The following is a 16197-nucleotide window of genomic DNA, read 5'->3' as shown; positions in this document are numbered from 1 at the left end:
TTTCAAAAATTAGGGAGAAAATAATCAATAGATGGAGTTGAAACAACCTCATTCCCTTTGCCAAAACAAATTTAAGATAAATCAAATATCTGAATTTTAAAAATTCATAAATCAGGCCAAAAGGATTTGCCGGGTCTGTTGTCTTCCAATATTACATTTGAGGTGTAATTTGGGAGTATGCCCTTCCTTAGGGTGCACAACTCTTGCAACTGACTTCTTGCTGGTGCAGATTTGGAGCCTGGGATTATTTTAAGGGTTGAAGTTCATAAACTGCTGCTTTACAGAATGTAGAAATGTTTGGTATGGTATCTGTCCAAAAATTTCTGGTCTACTGTAAAAACCATAACCAAAGTCTTTATCTAGACATTTTTAAAAAATGTTTCTTTCCTTTATTTAAAAGAAAAAATTATTTAGGGACACAGTGTGAGGAAGGCACACCTTCCATGGCTTTGGAGAGGATGCAGTTTCCAGAATGAATCACTAGGGCAGAAACATGCAGGGCAGGTAGGGGGAGATGCTTGGAAGTTAGGGGAGGGGCTGCATCCTCTAGCACCTCTGAACACAGAGCTCACTCAATCCATACATAATTTTTTGTTAAGATTCTGGGGCTGAAGAGTAGAGGACACAATTTTATGTATAGAGAGATTCTTTTTCATTTTTTTAAAAATAGAGATGGGGTCTCACTATGTTGACCAGGCTGGTCTTGCACTCCTGGCCTCAAGCGATCCTCCCAAAGTGCTAGGGTTAAAGGCATGAGCCACTGAGCCTGGCCAGAGGACACAATTTTTAACATATATGCTTATCATTTACATACTGGTCTCTCCATTCTACATCCCTCTTGCCTATAGCTACCTTCAGACCATTTAGAAGATAACACCCTTAATCTAATCTTTGCTGGTGAGTTTGTTCCCATTTTCTAGTTAAATACTCTTAAGAGAATATACTAAAAAAAAGAGTTGGGGCACATTCTTCAACAAGGCTACTGCTTCACAGTCACCAAATACTTAAAATTGCTTCACTCTGAGATATAGAAGCAGTTGGCTTTTTCAACACCAAAAGAGAGTGCTCAGTAATTTGGATTGCATGCTGCAACATAAAGCACTCTTCTGGATCTCCAGGCTGAATCACATTTAGGGATGATAATAATGATGATGATGATGATGATTTTTGCCAATACTACTTCATAGGTGGGTTTATGTTTTTCCAGGTAAATTTTTTTTTAAAGAGACAGTGTCTTGCTTAGTTGCCCAGGCTGATCTTGAACTCCTGGGCTCAAGTCATCCTCTGCTCCCACTTCTGCCTCCTAAAGTGCTGGGATTATAGTCGTGAGCCACCAAGCCCAGCCTGGTTTCTTTTGCCCTTTTGTAATGCTATCTGCCATTGATTCTCAATGTTTAGATCCAGTAATTCACTAGGATTGCAAAAGATGTTGATATTCAAATTTTCTTCTTCAGTAATTTGATGGACTACTTACATCAAGAGAAACTTTACCTCACCTACTATTTGGTATCTTGGTGGCACAGTTTACATAGAAACGGCAGGACAAATGCTTGATTGTTTTCTTTCATTTGACAGTTCTCAAATAAAAAGTTGGTTTCTGGCTTCTTCCGTGATGACTATATTAAGGTTCTCTAGGAAAACAGGCAAAAGAATATGCACAGATAGATAAGGAAGATTTATTATGGGAATTGACTCACACAATTATGGAGGCCCAGAAGTCCCACAGTATGCTGCCTGCAAGCTGGAGAACAAGGAAAGCCAGCGGTGTAATTCAGTCCGCATCTGAAGACATAAGAAGCAGGGGCGTCAATGGCATACTCTCAGTCCAAGGCCAAAGGCCCAAAGACTCGGGGGTCAGGAGGTGCTGATGTAACTCCTGGAGTCCAAAGACCCCAGTGCCAGGAGCTCCACTGTCTGAGGGCAAGAGAAGGTAAATATCCTAGCTCAAGAATAGAGAGCAAATTCACTCTTCCTATGCCTAATTGGATAATGCTAGCCCACATTGGTGAGGGCAGATCTGTTTTACTCATTCTACTGATTCAAATACTACTCTCTTACAAAACCCTCCTCAAAGACACACCCTGAAATAACATTATCATCAATACAATTACTGAAAAGAGTTAAAAATTCTTTTGCATATGCTCTTTCCATTCTCACCCCACATATTTACAATTGTACCGTATCCACACTGTCAGAGTATTCAGCCATTATGTACCACATTATCTTCTTTATATCTCTCATTTAGTGTCTTAGTTTTGCTAGAAATTATTATCAATGCTCACCATGAATCATTTTGTCAATGCCTCCCCATGTATTTTGATTGTTTGAATCCCCTTCTCCAGTAGATTCATAAAGAATAATATTCCCTCAGTTCTTGCCTAACAGCTTATATAGATATAAAATCATTGCTTCATATTTTCTTTCTTTGCACTATGTTACTGAATTTTCTTCAAGCATAAAATTTTGAGATTGAAGTTTGAAGATAATATGACTTTCTTTCCTGTATGAATAATTTCATATTTTTTCCCTGGATTTTCTAAATAATTTTTATTTTATTTCCTTTAAAGTACAATAATTTCGCTAGACTAAATCTCAGTGATGATCATTCCAAGCCAATTTTATCAGATAAACTGAGTGTCCTCTCAATATTTAGTTTCAATTCTCATTTTATTTTGGCTTCTCAAATGATAGATTTCAGTATTTTATTGCTAAAATTTTCCCTAGATATGCCTATTGTATGTATGTGGGATCTTCCTTGTGTGTCTTTTCTTTAATCCTTTTTATCTCTCTCTTTTTTCTTTTAAATTCTTAAAATTTTTTTTACTTATATTTCTCTTGAGATATTATCTTGTATTTTTTCTAGTTTTACTTTTATTTGTTCTGTTTCTTAATAATTTTTAAAATTATCTTCTTAGTTCTATCATCTCAAATTCTGATTTGTTCTTTTATTTCTTATCTCATTTTTTGTGTCTCCTAGCTAGTTTTGAAATATTAGACTATAGTTTTCATCTGCTGTATGAGAATGTTTTTGGCATGTTTTATTATCTGTAGGAATATTATTCTCTCTTTCCTTATACTTTAATGGAATTTGATCTCTATCTTTTCTGTAGCTCAATGTTTATGTCACAGTTTTCCTGAGCTTTTAGAAAGGAGATGTAGTTTTGGATAATATTTTATCATTTAACTTTCTACCCAAACTTGGATAACTTTCTACCCAAACTTGGATAACTTTCTATTCAAACCTTATCATTTTAGAGCTCTCTTTTTTGGATGTTTTTCAAAGCTTTCAAGATTATGGTAGCTTACATTCTGAAATATTCTGACTGTCCCTTCCTACCTCCACCCCACATTTAATCTAGGTATTCTTTTTCATTGGCTTTATGATCTGTGCCCTCTTAAATTTGAATTCTATCCCCACAAGTTTGTCCTCTTTGAGGAGTTTTGTCTTGAAAGAAACTTTTATTTAGATACTATACTAGATCATTCCAGGCTTTTCATATTTTGCTGCAAATCCCTTGTATTTCATTTACAAAAAGATACATAATACTGACTCTAGTGAGAAATAAAGAGACATGTACTTAAAATTTATACATGGGGTGAAAAAAAAAACAGAAGAAAAATTCCCTGAGGAAATTCCTTTCTTGACCATTATAACAAATGCCTAACAAAACAATTAAAGAAGGAGAAATTCACCCCAAAATTTATTGCTGAAAATATCATATTAGTTAACATTTTTATGGTGTTATGAGTAATAGAAACTATCTCTAACTAGCTAAAACAAGCAAACAAACAAAAAAGATAAGTAATCATAAGGAAACAGAGGTGATTCAAATGGTCCAAGAGCAGGGTACAGCTAGGCAAGGAAGTCTTTCTGCCCCAGCTTTCAATTCTGTTCCTCTCTCTGAATTGACTTTTTTCTCCTGTCAACCCAAAAGTAGTGTTGGCCTACTTTTCACAAGCTGGAAAATATTTACTGTATCTTCTGAGTTTCTATCTCCTCTGTTTCAAAACCAGAAAGAATAAGCCTAGAATTTCTTGGTCTAAATTCCAACTGTCTGCAGAGGGATGCTAGTTGTCCTGCCTTTGATTCAGGTTCCCTGAGCGTATCACTGTGGCCAAGAAGTAGGGTAAACTGGTTAAATCAGGGGTATTTCCACTGTGATAAAGTCATGTCATGAGGTCAAGCATAAGGGAATACCTTAGTTTGGGCTACCATAACAAAGCACCATAGACTGAGTGGATTATAAACAACAAAAATTTATTTTCACAGTTGTGGAGGCTGGAAGTTTGATATCAGGGTGCCACCATGGTCAGATCCTGGTGAGGGTCCTCTTCCAGTTTGTAGACTGGTTACTTCATGGTGGAAAGAGGGTAAGAGAGCTCTCTGGGTTTTTTTTTTATAAGGGCACTAATCTCACTTATGAGGACTCGACTCTCATGACCTTATTACCTTTCAAAGGGCCCACCTCCTAACACCATCACATTAGGGGTTAGGATTTCAACATATGAATTTAAAGGGTTGGGGGACATGAACACTCAGTCCATTGTAGAGTAAGACACAGGAAAGAGGACAAGTGGAGAAAAGGATCAGTTCCTAGAAAAGAGGGAGTCAAAGAGACAAAGCAGGTTGAAATCCAGATTTCTATTTTCATTACTATATTGTACACATGATATCTGCCTATAAAGAGTCAGAAGTAAGAAAAACTAGTTCAAGACTAGAAGAATGAGTAACAAATAGGAGTACTTTCCACTCCATCTCCAACAATATGTCTTGATGAAATCAAGACTGTGAGGCATAAAATTGCTGTCTAGAAGGTGAGATGTAACAAAAACAAAATAAAACGGAATCTTGAGTTTTAAGGAAGAAATGTTTGCTTAGAGCTATTTTGCTACTTTTTCAGATGCAAATTTAGACTCTCCAGTAGACTGAAGATATGATAGTCATATGTCACGTGAAGTTCAAAGTATTTTGTGAGTGAACACAAAGAGGTTAGCTACTAAATTTAATGTAAGCAAAACAGACTAGGTGAAGTATGTAATTTGGAAAGCAAATACTTTCTCAAGCTTCACTTGAGAAAGATTAGCCATTTGAGGTAACTATTAGCTCCACTTGAGAAAGAGTAGCTTGAAGCCACCGTGCCCAGCCAAGTTGTGTTAAATTTCTCACTGACAATGTCGATTACAGGCTTATCTTCACAGATACAGCACAAGGACAAGACAAGAAAGTATTCCTCTCTTGCCCTGAGATGAGATAATTGACTTTTTCCTCTCCTCTTTTCACATGTTTACCTTGCCTTGTGTAAGATGTAGACTTATAGAGCAGTAATTAGAGCCTCCAGGAATGTAACCATCTGCCTCACTGTTTACCCCCAACATTTTCTTCCTTCTTTCTCTTTCTCCTTTAAATACTGAGTTCCCAAAACCCTCTTTGGAAAGCATAGGTCACAGATGCCTCTGTGACTGTGTTTTTCCTGGGCACATCCTCAAACTTTGGGGTCAATAAACCTCTATTGATTGAGACTTCTTCCTCAGTCACTTTTTTGGTTAACACCATTTTCATTTTATTTACATTGTTTGAATTGTTTTAGCAGAATGTATTAAAGTATTATATGTGGGCTGGGCATGGTTGCTCATGCCTCTACTGCCAGCACTTTGGGAGGCCAAGGCAGGAGGATTGCTTGAGGTCAGGAGTTCAAGACCAACCTGAGTAACATAGCAAGCCCCTGTCTCTAAAAAAGGGAAAAAAAAGAAGTATTACATGTGTAATTGCAAATAAATAAATACAAATTCAGAAAAATTATCATTAGGTTCAATAAAATATTCTTATTTGTTGTGCCAAGCTTTTTTTTAAAGGAATGAAAATGTCATGGTCACTGAAATCTTATTCTTTCATTGAAAGAAGGTTCTTAAGAATATCTGTACCTTACATGTGGAAGTAAAACAAAGCAGTGGCCTTTAGATTGGAATTGCATATTGTAGGTTTAATGGAGCTCTAGCACTAGTTCTAATTGATTTTTGGCTAGATATAGCTGGAAGTATGTACTCAGGTTGTTAGTGGAAAGCAGGACAGCATAGGGCCACAGTTTTAAGTGGAGAGTCTTCTTCACAAGCAATTTTTTGAGAACGATATTTTGTTTTTCACAGACTCCTGAGATAGAATATAATTTTTCAGTGATAGGCTTAGAGGCTCTTGGGGAAAAAACAAGTGCTATTTTTCACACTTTTTGATACTTAATATGTGTCAGCCTCTGTGCTAAGAGCTTTATATTTAATCCTGACATATCTATGAAAAAGGCACTGATATGGTTTGGCTCTGTGTCCACACCCAAATCTGATGTCAAATTGTAATTCCCAGTGTTGGAGGAGGGTCCTAGTGTGAGGTGACTGAATCATGGAGGTGGACTTCTCCCATGCTGTTCTCATGATTGAGTTCTCACGAGATCTGGTTGTTTGAAAGTGTGTAGCATCTCCACATTTTCTCTCTCTTCCCCCTGCTCTGTCCATGTGAAGACTATGCCTGCCTCCCTTTCACCCTCTGCCATGATTATAAGTTTCCTGAGGCCTTCCCAGAAGCAGAAGCCTGTACAGGCTGCAGAATTGTGGGCTGATTAAACTTCTTTTCTTTCTAAATTACCTAGTCTTTATAGCAATGCGAGAATAGACTAATACAGGCACTATGATTACTCCATTTTTCAGGTGAATTGCCCCGTTTTTCAGATGAAGATGTAGAGACAAAGAAAGGTATGATGGCTCAAGGTTACACACTAGTACGTGGTTAATTCTCCATTCAATGAGAGTTCTAATCCAGGCTCCATGTTCTTGCTCTTAGCCATAAGAAATGAGGCCTGTCCCATGGGATGCCACTCTCTAACCTCAAGAACAGGAATAGACTGCCTGGCAGAGAGGGTAGAAAGCATTGATGGAATAAATTATTTCTATTTCCATATGTTGCTCTCCAGAGCACTTGCCTCCCCAGAGTTTGATCTCAAGGTGTAAAGTTGGGTACTCCTACTATGCCAGTACCCAGGAGAGGCTGGCTCTAGAGTACATATTTTATGTAGTTACATAGTCAGAAAGATTCCTCAGGCATCAAATAAGTAGTTGAATGCTTTCTTCTAGTAAGGGCCCCCAACCAAGACCAACAAGTACCAGTTCTTTAGTAAAATAAACTACAGGTGACCAGGCAGACTTTGGAAATGCAAAGAAGAAGACGTCATTCAGGGGCGTGGAGCAACAGAATGAACAGCACCAGCTGGCATAGGCTGAAAAGCTACGGGGCAGGTAAAAAGAAAGGGACTTATTGCAAAGAGAAGCTGAGGTGGAGCAGGGGTCCCCTTTTAGGAGCCTGCAGACTTCCAAGCATGGAAATAAAGGAATATTCTGAGTTCCTTCGAGAGAAATTCCAGGCATGCAGCTAGCCTCAGAAGTAAATACATAACTTGTTAAACAAGAAGGTCATAGTAGCTTAAAACAATAGCCAAGAAAGTTAGAGTTCCTGAGATGTTCCCTTTCCCTATAGAAACTAAGGATAACATCTTAACATTTGTGTCTGAGTTGTCTTTTAGAAAGTCAGATACCCACTGAGGACCCCCACTGAATGGATCCTCTGGCACGCAGACTTCAGATAAGGGAGAATTGAAGACTGAACTTTGACCATAATTTTTTGTTCTAAATTTCTTCTCAAGGGGCTTTGGGAAAGTCACCCCCCTCTCCCAGAAAATTAACACTTTTTCCTACTGACTCCAATTTTCTTTTTTTTTTTGAGACAGAGTCTCGCTCTGTTGCCAGGCTGTAGTGCAGTGGCATGATATCACTCACTGCAACCTCGGCCTCCCAGTTTCAAGCTATTCCCCTGCCTCAGCCTCCCAAGTAGCTGGGACTACAGGTGTGCGCCATCACACCCAGCTAAATTTTTTAATGTATTTTAGTAGAGATGGGGTTTCACCATGTTGGCCAGGATGGTCTCGATTTTATGACCTCATGATCTGCCTGCCTCAGCCTCCCAAATTGCTGGGATTACAGGTGTGAGCCACTGTGCCCGGCCCTGACTCCAGATTTTTAAACAAAGCTTCACTTCCTTAACCAATTACAAATCAGAAAATCTTTGAATCTACCTATGACCTATAAGTCACCCTCCAGGCCCCCACTCCAAGATATTCTACCCTTATAAAGCTAAAACCTTCTTGTATTGATGTATAATTTTGCATGTAGCTTCTGATATCCTGAGATTTACTCCTACCTTTAAAAACTCTTGCTTGCAAGTCATCAAGGAGGTCAGGATTTGAGCATTTAGCTTCCTGGTCCTCCTTGCTTGGCACCCTGCAAATAAATGCCTTTCTACTGCTGCAAAAACCTTGGTGTAGATATCTGGTTTTACTGTGCCAGATGAGTGGATTCCAGTCTGGTTCTATAATGCAGCCAGTTCTTAGGAAGATTTCCCTGGAGAAAAGAATTGATGAGGAGGGGTGAGTCAGAGGAGCAAGCCCCTTATGGAAAAGGTCCTGAGCACTGTGCCAGTGCCAAGGTTAATTTAAGGGAATTGCTGGGTCAGAGCTACAGCTAGGATGGTAACCCAAGTAGGGTTCCAAGGGACTTTGAGGAAAATGGATTTGACTTGGGTGTACAGTGTCCATCTAAGAGGAAGAAGCTGAGACCAAACTAATATAGAGAGTTTATTTTGGACAAGCTTGAGGATTGCAACTAGCAACATAGATTCAAGTTGCCCTGAATATACACTCAGAGTAGCAACAGATAAAAAGTAGGTTTTTAAAGAAAAAGAAGAGGCAGTTCCTAAGTTGTTTATTAAGAATTTACATTAAAATAGTATTAGCTACTGATTGGCTATACATTGTTCTTTGTGCCACAAATTCCAGGAACAGGAAGATAATGAGTGAGGCAGCTAATCAGGAACAAAATGACTTTAAACAATTCCCTCGTGGCATGGATGGGGAGGCATGGCTGAAGACCCATGCTAATGGCTCTCTGGAGACATTATCTGCATATCTCACAGAGCTCAGATTGCTCAACAGCAGGGACCACAAACTGAAATATCTACAGTATCTAGGAGGGTAAGAAAAATAAATAAAGTGAGCTGGGTGAATAGAAACCTTTGCCCTACCACCCATTTTCATCCCTCTCCAAAACCACATGCACATGCAAATGTCAGACTCACCAAATTGTACATACTAAACATGCACAGTTTTTTATTTTATATCAATTATACTTCAATAAAGCTGTAAAAAAAAAAAAAGTACTACTCATTTTGTTTCCAGAAAGGGGTCCTGATCCAGACCCCGAAAGAAGGTTCTTGGCTCTCACGCAAGAAAGAATTCAGGGTGAGTCCACAGAGTAAAGTATAAGCAAGTTTATTAAGAAAGTAAAGGAATAGAAGTATAGCTACTCCATAGATAGAGCGGGGCAGTCCTGAAAGCAAGAGGAAGAACATGTCCACTTTAGGTACAATGCTTGTTTACAAGATAATAAAACAAAAAATGATGAGATATACTCTACTACAAGGGCTTGTGACAAAGAATGGTTAATCTTTGTGTAACTACTGTCTTCCACAAGAATGTATATTATTATTTTAAAGCAAAACTTATTCTTAAACTAAGAATGCTTTTGTTCTTAAGATATTGTAACATCAGGACATTTCCTGGGTCTGTTAAGTCCTGGGTCTGTTCAGTAAACATTATTAATCTGTTCCCTTAACCACAAATATCCTTTGACTAAGAATGCCTAACCTCATAGAAAGGCAGTCCAGCAGGTCTCAGCCGTATTTTACCCATCCCCTATTCAAGAAGGGGTTGCTCTGGATTAAACACCACTGACATATTCTCCCCTCCCTTTTCCAAGGGGATACTTAATCCTAAGAGTTGCAGAAGGACAAAAATTCATTTTTCTATAGCTTCTTTGGGCTGTGTAGAGGTGATAATATTCCTGCCTAACTCTTAGGTTCTCTTGTATTTAGGGTAGAAAGGAGCTCAGTCAGGAAGCATCAGTATAGTGATGGCCATTCATAACTCTGGGTCCTGACAAAAGGAAATATCTGGAAGACAATAAGTGTTCAATTATAGAAAATGTTGAGTAAGCTTATCTTGCATTCTTACTTAAAGAGTACGACAGCAATATACTCAACAACAGTAAATAAAATAAGTATCCCAAGTAAACTAAATGAGAAGGCTTTCCATGAATTGGGCACCAAGCTGATATGGGGTTGCTAGCCAATTTCAATATATGCTCAGAGTTAGAATACTGATACAGATTTTTACATTACCCATCCCTCGTTTCTTCTACGCAGCTGGCAGAGATCAAAGGAATAAGCAGGGTCAGTCTACATTTCAGAAAAATACACAAAAACAATGGACAAGACTAGAATTTAACAACAGGTGTACCACAGTTTTTGAAACATAATTTATCTCTTTCCAGTCATCATTTTTATTAAAAACAAATCAAGGTAGGACTGATTTGTTTGCAAAATAACCTTTAGTCATATTATACTTGACCTGATTATTTTCATAAAGTGCAACAAGAATAATTATTTGCCATATAGGCTCCTTTTTAAATTGCCTTTGATGAAACTTTGTTTCATACAAAATCTCAGATAGACCTTTCAAAACCTTGAGTCTAGCCATGGATTTGTGCTTGAAAATACCCGTATGGGTTAGGTCAATTTCTCTCTTCTTGAGGTCCCAAGATAACTTGGGGCTCCTGGGCCAGTAAGAAAGTGACATTCTTTACTTACCACAGGTCAGGAACCCTGTACAGGGACTGTATAGACAAGATATGAGGCCAGTTTTTCCCCAGAGTCTTTTATTGGCCCTATAAGTCAACTTTGAATCCTTATAGCAGTCTGTTCATATTTGAAGGCATGGCCTTCTAGTCAAAGCCTTGGTAAACTAACCAGTGTCTCCAATTGTGTCCTCTTATAAAAGAAAACAGATTCTTATTGCACTTGATAAGTTAAGTGTAAACCAAAAATAAAATGATAAGTCCCTCAACCATCTGAACTGACCCCTCCTCTCAGCCAAGGGCATTCCAATGTTAACCTGAAAAACTAGTTCACGCCATGATGGGAAGTGGGAGTCAGACTTGCCTCATTATCATTAATATCAACATAGACCTTAAGACTCGTAGAAGAGACTAATTAAGTCTAATAGGAAACATTTACAATCTATTCTCTCTGAAGCATGCTACCTGGAGGTTTCGTCCACATGATAAAACCTTTGTCTCCACAACCCCTTATTGTAACTCAGACATTCCTTTCTATTGATTCCAGGTCTTTAGACAGTAACTCAACCAACTGCCAATTCGGAAATATTTAAATCTGCCTATTACCTGGAAACTCCTGCTTCTGGTTGTCCTGCCCTTCTGAAGCAAACCAATGTACATCTTACTTGTATTGATTGATGTCTTACGTTTCCCTAAAATGCATAAAACCAAGTTGTAGCCTGACCACCTTGAGCACCAAAGGCCGTACATGGGCATGTCCTTAACCTTGGCAAAATGAACTTCTAAGTTGATTGAGACTTGCCTCAGATACTTTTTGGTTTACAAATGAATACTCATAAATTTTGGAGGAATTGGGTAGAGAGAAAGAAATATGCTCTTAATTGGATTATACTTTACTCAATTGTCAAAAGCTATAAATAGATCAAAAGAAAAATTTTCTTGACTCTAAAAAACAAAACAGAATCAGCAATGTTTTAAACAAAAAGTCATAAAAAGATAATTTTGTCTTTTATTAGTTCAGTCTATGCAATTAATTCCTGTTTTGCTTGATATTTATGAATACATTCATTTTCCAAGAGAGTCTTGGAAGGTTTTTTTCTCTATATTTTAATGGCACATTTTTCATACTTATCAGAGACCTGCATTTAAGAGTACTCATCAGAGTCCTACAGCTGATGATAAACTGCCTTTTGAAAAGGATTAAAACAAGACAATTGTCTACGGATGACTAAGAGTCTTAGGGCAGCCACAGTCAAAGACACAATTGATGAAAAAATTTGGTTACTTCTGTGGCACACAATAATTTAGCATAACAATTATTATTTTATTACTGATAATGTACACTAAATCATATTAGAATTATAGGAGTTTTGCATAATTTTGGAACACATACCAATAATACATTTATACAAATACAGCCCAAAGAAAGACAAATATTATTTTATATTTGACTATGCTTTCTGTGTGACCTTAATATATCAAATAAGCAAAATACATCATTTTTGGACTTTTGGGAACTAATATCTAGAAGGATTAATCAGGTCACAAAATGACTATATTTAGAATTTGATTTTGGGATGTTTGTTAAATATCAAAGGTTTAAAACACTTGACATTAAAAAATAGAATCTCAAGTCATTTATTTAGACAAAATAATAACTCAAAGATTTTTTAAAGGCAAAACCCTGGCCAGGCACGGTGGCTCACACCTGTAATCCCAGCAGTTTGGGAGGCTGAGGCGGGCGGATCACAAGGTCAGGAGATCTAATCCATCTTGGCCAACACAGTGAAACCCAGTCTCCACTAAAAATACAAAAAATCAGCCAGGCGTGGTGGCAGGAGCCTGTAGTCCCAGCTACTCAGGAGGCTGAGGCAGGAGAATGGCGTGAACCCAGGAGGCGGAGCTTGCAGTGAGCCGAGACTGCGCCACTGCACTCCAGCCTGGGCGACAGAGCGTCTCCATCTCAAAAAAAAAAAAAAAAAAAAACAAACAAAAACAAAGGCAAAACCCTTTACTCATTGATAGAAGGAAGCCTTAGCTTTCCAAACAATTTGTCTCTTTTCTCTCCCTTCATTTTCCTGTAGTTTATTCAAAAGGCAAACACAAATTTTGTATTATCTCTCAACATTACATGAAAATATTGTTCAAGAGAGAAAGCCAAATTTCACCTTTGCATTAGTGTACTATTAATGTCAAACCCAATTCTTAATAAAGCCTTATAGGCAAATCTATTCAATTTTAAATAGTTTGACCATTAGGTAACATTCTCACAAACCTTTTATTTTTATTTATTTATTTTTTGAGACGGAGTCTCGCTCTGTCACCCAGGCTGGAGTGCAGTGGCGCGACCTCGGCTCACTGCAAGCTCCACCTCCTGGGTTCACGCCATTCTCCTGCCTCAGCCTCCCGAGTAGCTGGGACTACAGGCATGTGCCGCCACACCTGGCTAATTTTTTGTATTTTTAGTAGAGACGGGGTTTGACCGTGTTAGCCAGGATGGTCTCGATCTTCTGACCTCGTGATCCACCCACCTCAGCCTCCCAAAGTGCTGGGATTACAGGCGTGAGCCACTGCGCCCAGCAAACACAAACCTTTTATAATCCTTCAAATTTTTTTGTTAATGAGCAGATTAATGCTCCAACGAAAACCCTGTTGTGCTTTTATTCCAATATTCAATTTACAGAAAAACTGAATATCCCTTAAACTCTAGGCAATATGTTCACACACAGAATTTCTTCTACTTCTTCTTCCTCTTTTTTTTTTTTTTTTTTTAATAGAGATGAGAGTCTTGCTATGTTGCCAGGCTGGTTTCAAACTCCAGGGCTCAAGCAATCATCCCACTTCAGCCTCCCAAAATGTTGGGATTACAGGTGTGAGCCACTGTGCCCAGCCAGGGATTTCTTTTACAAGATTAATCTTTCACGAACCTTCTACAACTTGCTCAAAATTTCAGCTTTATTCTATCTAACCTAAAACAATCATTTAACCCTATAAACTAGGCAGGAAAAAAATGCACATTCTTATGCTTTCTTATAATTTTTTTTTTACCAAAGACACATTCTACTTTCTTTACACACCTTGCACGTAAAACTGTTTCTCCGGTACTCTCAATTACATGTATTATAGTGTTAACTCTTAAAAGCTTTTATTTTTGATGAAAAACCTGGTAAGTAGGTGATTTTAATTATGTACCAGATGTGGAGTCCAGGATGCCAGACAGAAGTACAGGTAAGGTCTAACTATTTCCAGTATAGCCAGGGTGCATAGCTAACTCCACATTTCTCCAGGCCTTACCTAGAACCAAATGGCTCCAAAGCAGGTAAGTCGCACAACTATCAAAAGTCAAAAAAGCAGTTTAAGTAGTTTAGTGAACACAGTATCTGACCTGCTTAATTTAGACCAGATGTCTAAATTTTCACATTTTTATTTTATCAATAATCTTTAAAACTGTCTTTATTTCCCAAAGATTACTATAGTCACATGAACCAAAAAGTGTTAAAGTTCTATTTTTCTGACAAAAACATTTGATTTAAGCATTTATTATTTTCAGTAAAATTAATCAGAGCTATTTTATATAAACCTCACATACATAACACATATTAACACATAGACAGAAGAAGATCCAGTAGTTGTAAGGTTTTTCCATTAGCCAGTTTTAAAGTTTCTTAATTGGATTACTGGCATCAGGGTGGAGCCCTTTGAGAAATAGGGCAAGGAAAGCATGCAGTTTCTAGGGCCTAACAAACAGGCAGAGCTGGAGAGCAAAATATATCCCCCAAAATTAAGCATCCCATTCGCATGCCGGATCCTGGATCCTTTAAAAGAGGGAAACTCTATGGCACAAGACAGTGCAACACTTTTACCATGCATTTCATTGCAAGGACATACCCCCAAGGCTTGAAACTTGTGGGCAACCCAAAGCCAATCAGCCCATCCTCCATGGGAGTTTTACCTCTGTGGGTAGAGGGGGGAGATGTTTTCATTCTTTTCAGATAGCTAAAAGTATGCTTCTCTGATCCACATGTGTAAAGAGCTGAGTATTCCCCCATCACAGCCATTAGCCATCACTAAATATATTTCTGATATGGCTTGGCTCTATGTCCCCACCCAAATCTCATCTTGAATTGTAATCCAAATTGTAATCCTCAGGTATCAAGGGATGGACCTGGTGGGAGGTGATTGAATCATGAGGGCAATTTCCCCCATGCTGTTTTCATGATAGTGAGTGAATTCTCATGAGATCTGATGGTTTTATAAATGGCAGTTTCCCCTTATCTCTCTCTTACCTGCCACCATGTAAGTCGTGCCTGCTTCCCCTTCTGCCATGATTGTAAGTTTCCTGAGGCCTCCACAACCATGTGGAACTGTGAGTCAATTAAACCTCTTTTGTTTACAAATTCCCAGTCTCAGGCAGTTCTTTATGACAGTATGAAAACAGACTAATTTGATTTCCTACCTAAGTATTACACACCAAGGGTAAAAACTCTCTCATAATGCAAAGTAATTTCTGATGTCCCCAAAAGTAAAAAATGTCAGGTAATGCAATGCAAAACAGAGGAGAGCCTTAGATTTTGAGAGGGACCTATATGCTTTCAATGTCTGGGATTCCAAGAGGAAAACAGAGGTTTTTCCCAAAATGGGGTCTGTAGAGACTCTTCTGTTTTTCCCAAAGAGTCCCATGGTATTAATAATTATTTTAGGCCAGGCGCGGTGGCTCATGCCTGTAATCCCAGTACTTTGGGAGGCTGAGGCAGGAGGATCACCTGAGGTTAGGAGCTCAAGATCAGCCTGGCCAACATGGCAAAACCCCATCTCTTTTAAAAATACAAAAATTAGCCGGGTGTGGTAGCATGCACCTGTAATCCCAGCTACTCGGAAGGCTGAGGCAGGAGAATCACTTGAATGTGGGAGGTGGAGGTTGCAGTGAGCCGAGATTGTGCCACTGCACTCCAGCCTGGGCAAAAAGAGTGACACTCCATCTCAAAAAAAAAAAAAACAAAAAAGAATTATAAGAATTATTTTATCATAAAATAATTCTTATTTTAAATTCTTGTTATAAATTCTTATAAAATTAGATATTTTATAAGAATTATCTCATATGGGCATCAAGAATGACAAGAAGACAAAGTGGAGAAAAATAATTCAGTTGACTGAGAAGAAAAAAACTTTTTTCCAGAAAAACAAGATCCAAGAAGAGAAGAAAAAAAAAAAGCCATTTGAATATGTATGCAGCTTGGATATCTGCTTTTAATTAAGCTGACTTTTAACCAAATATCTTAGTACCAGACTCCAGCCAAGACAAACAGCCAATATTTCTGGCTTCTGAACTTTATAAGTTGCCAGATGAAGCCAACAAGCCTTAACTAAGGTTATGACTTAATCATGGGTGTATGAAGTATTTTCCGAGAGGTGGTAAGCAGTTTTTACAAGATCTAGAATCTCCAAAGGTAGCTCAGAAAAAGGGAAATT

General features: G+C 38.1%; 1 long non-coding RNA gene across 1 annotated transcript in view; it reads right to left on the bottom strand.

The window, feature by feature from the left end:
- LOC124906300 (uncharacterized) overlaps window positions 1-11641 on the bottom strand; it is a 55680-nt gene extending 44039 nt beyond the window's left edge. The window contains exon 1 of the long non-coding RNA XR_007096148.1: window positions 1698-11641. This is a non-coding gene — a long non-coding RNA (uncharacterized LOC124906300). The remainder of the gene's footprint in view (window positions 1-1697) is intronic.
- Between the last annotated feature and the right edge of the window lie 4556 nt (window positions 11642-16197).

Source organism: Homo sapiens, chromosome 3, assembly GCF_000001405.40.
Source record: "Homo sapiens chromosome 3, GRCh38.p14 Primary Assembly".
In the NCBI taxonomy this organism is placed as follows: domain Eukaryota; kingdom Metazoa; phylum Chordata; class Mammalia; order Primates; family Hominidae; genus Homo; species Homo sapiens.
The sequence above is the reverse complement of the archived record's forward strand: the minus strand, read 5'-3'. Positions and strand labels throughout refer to the sequence as shown.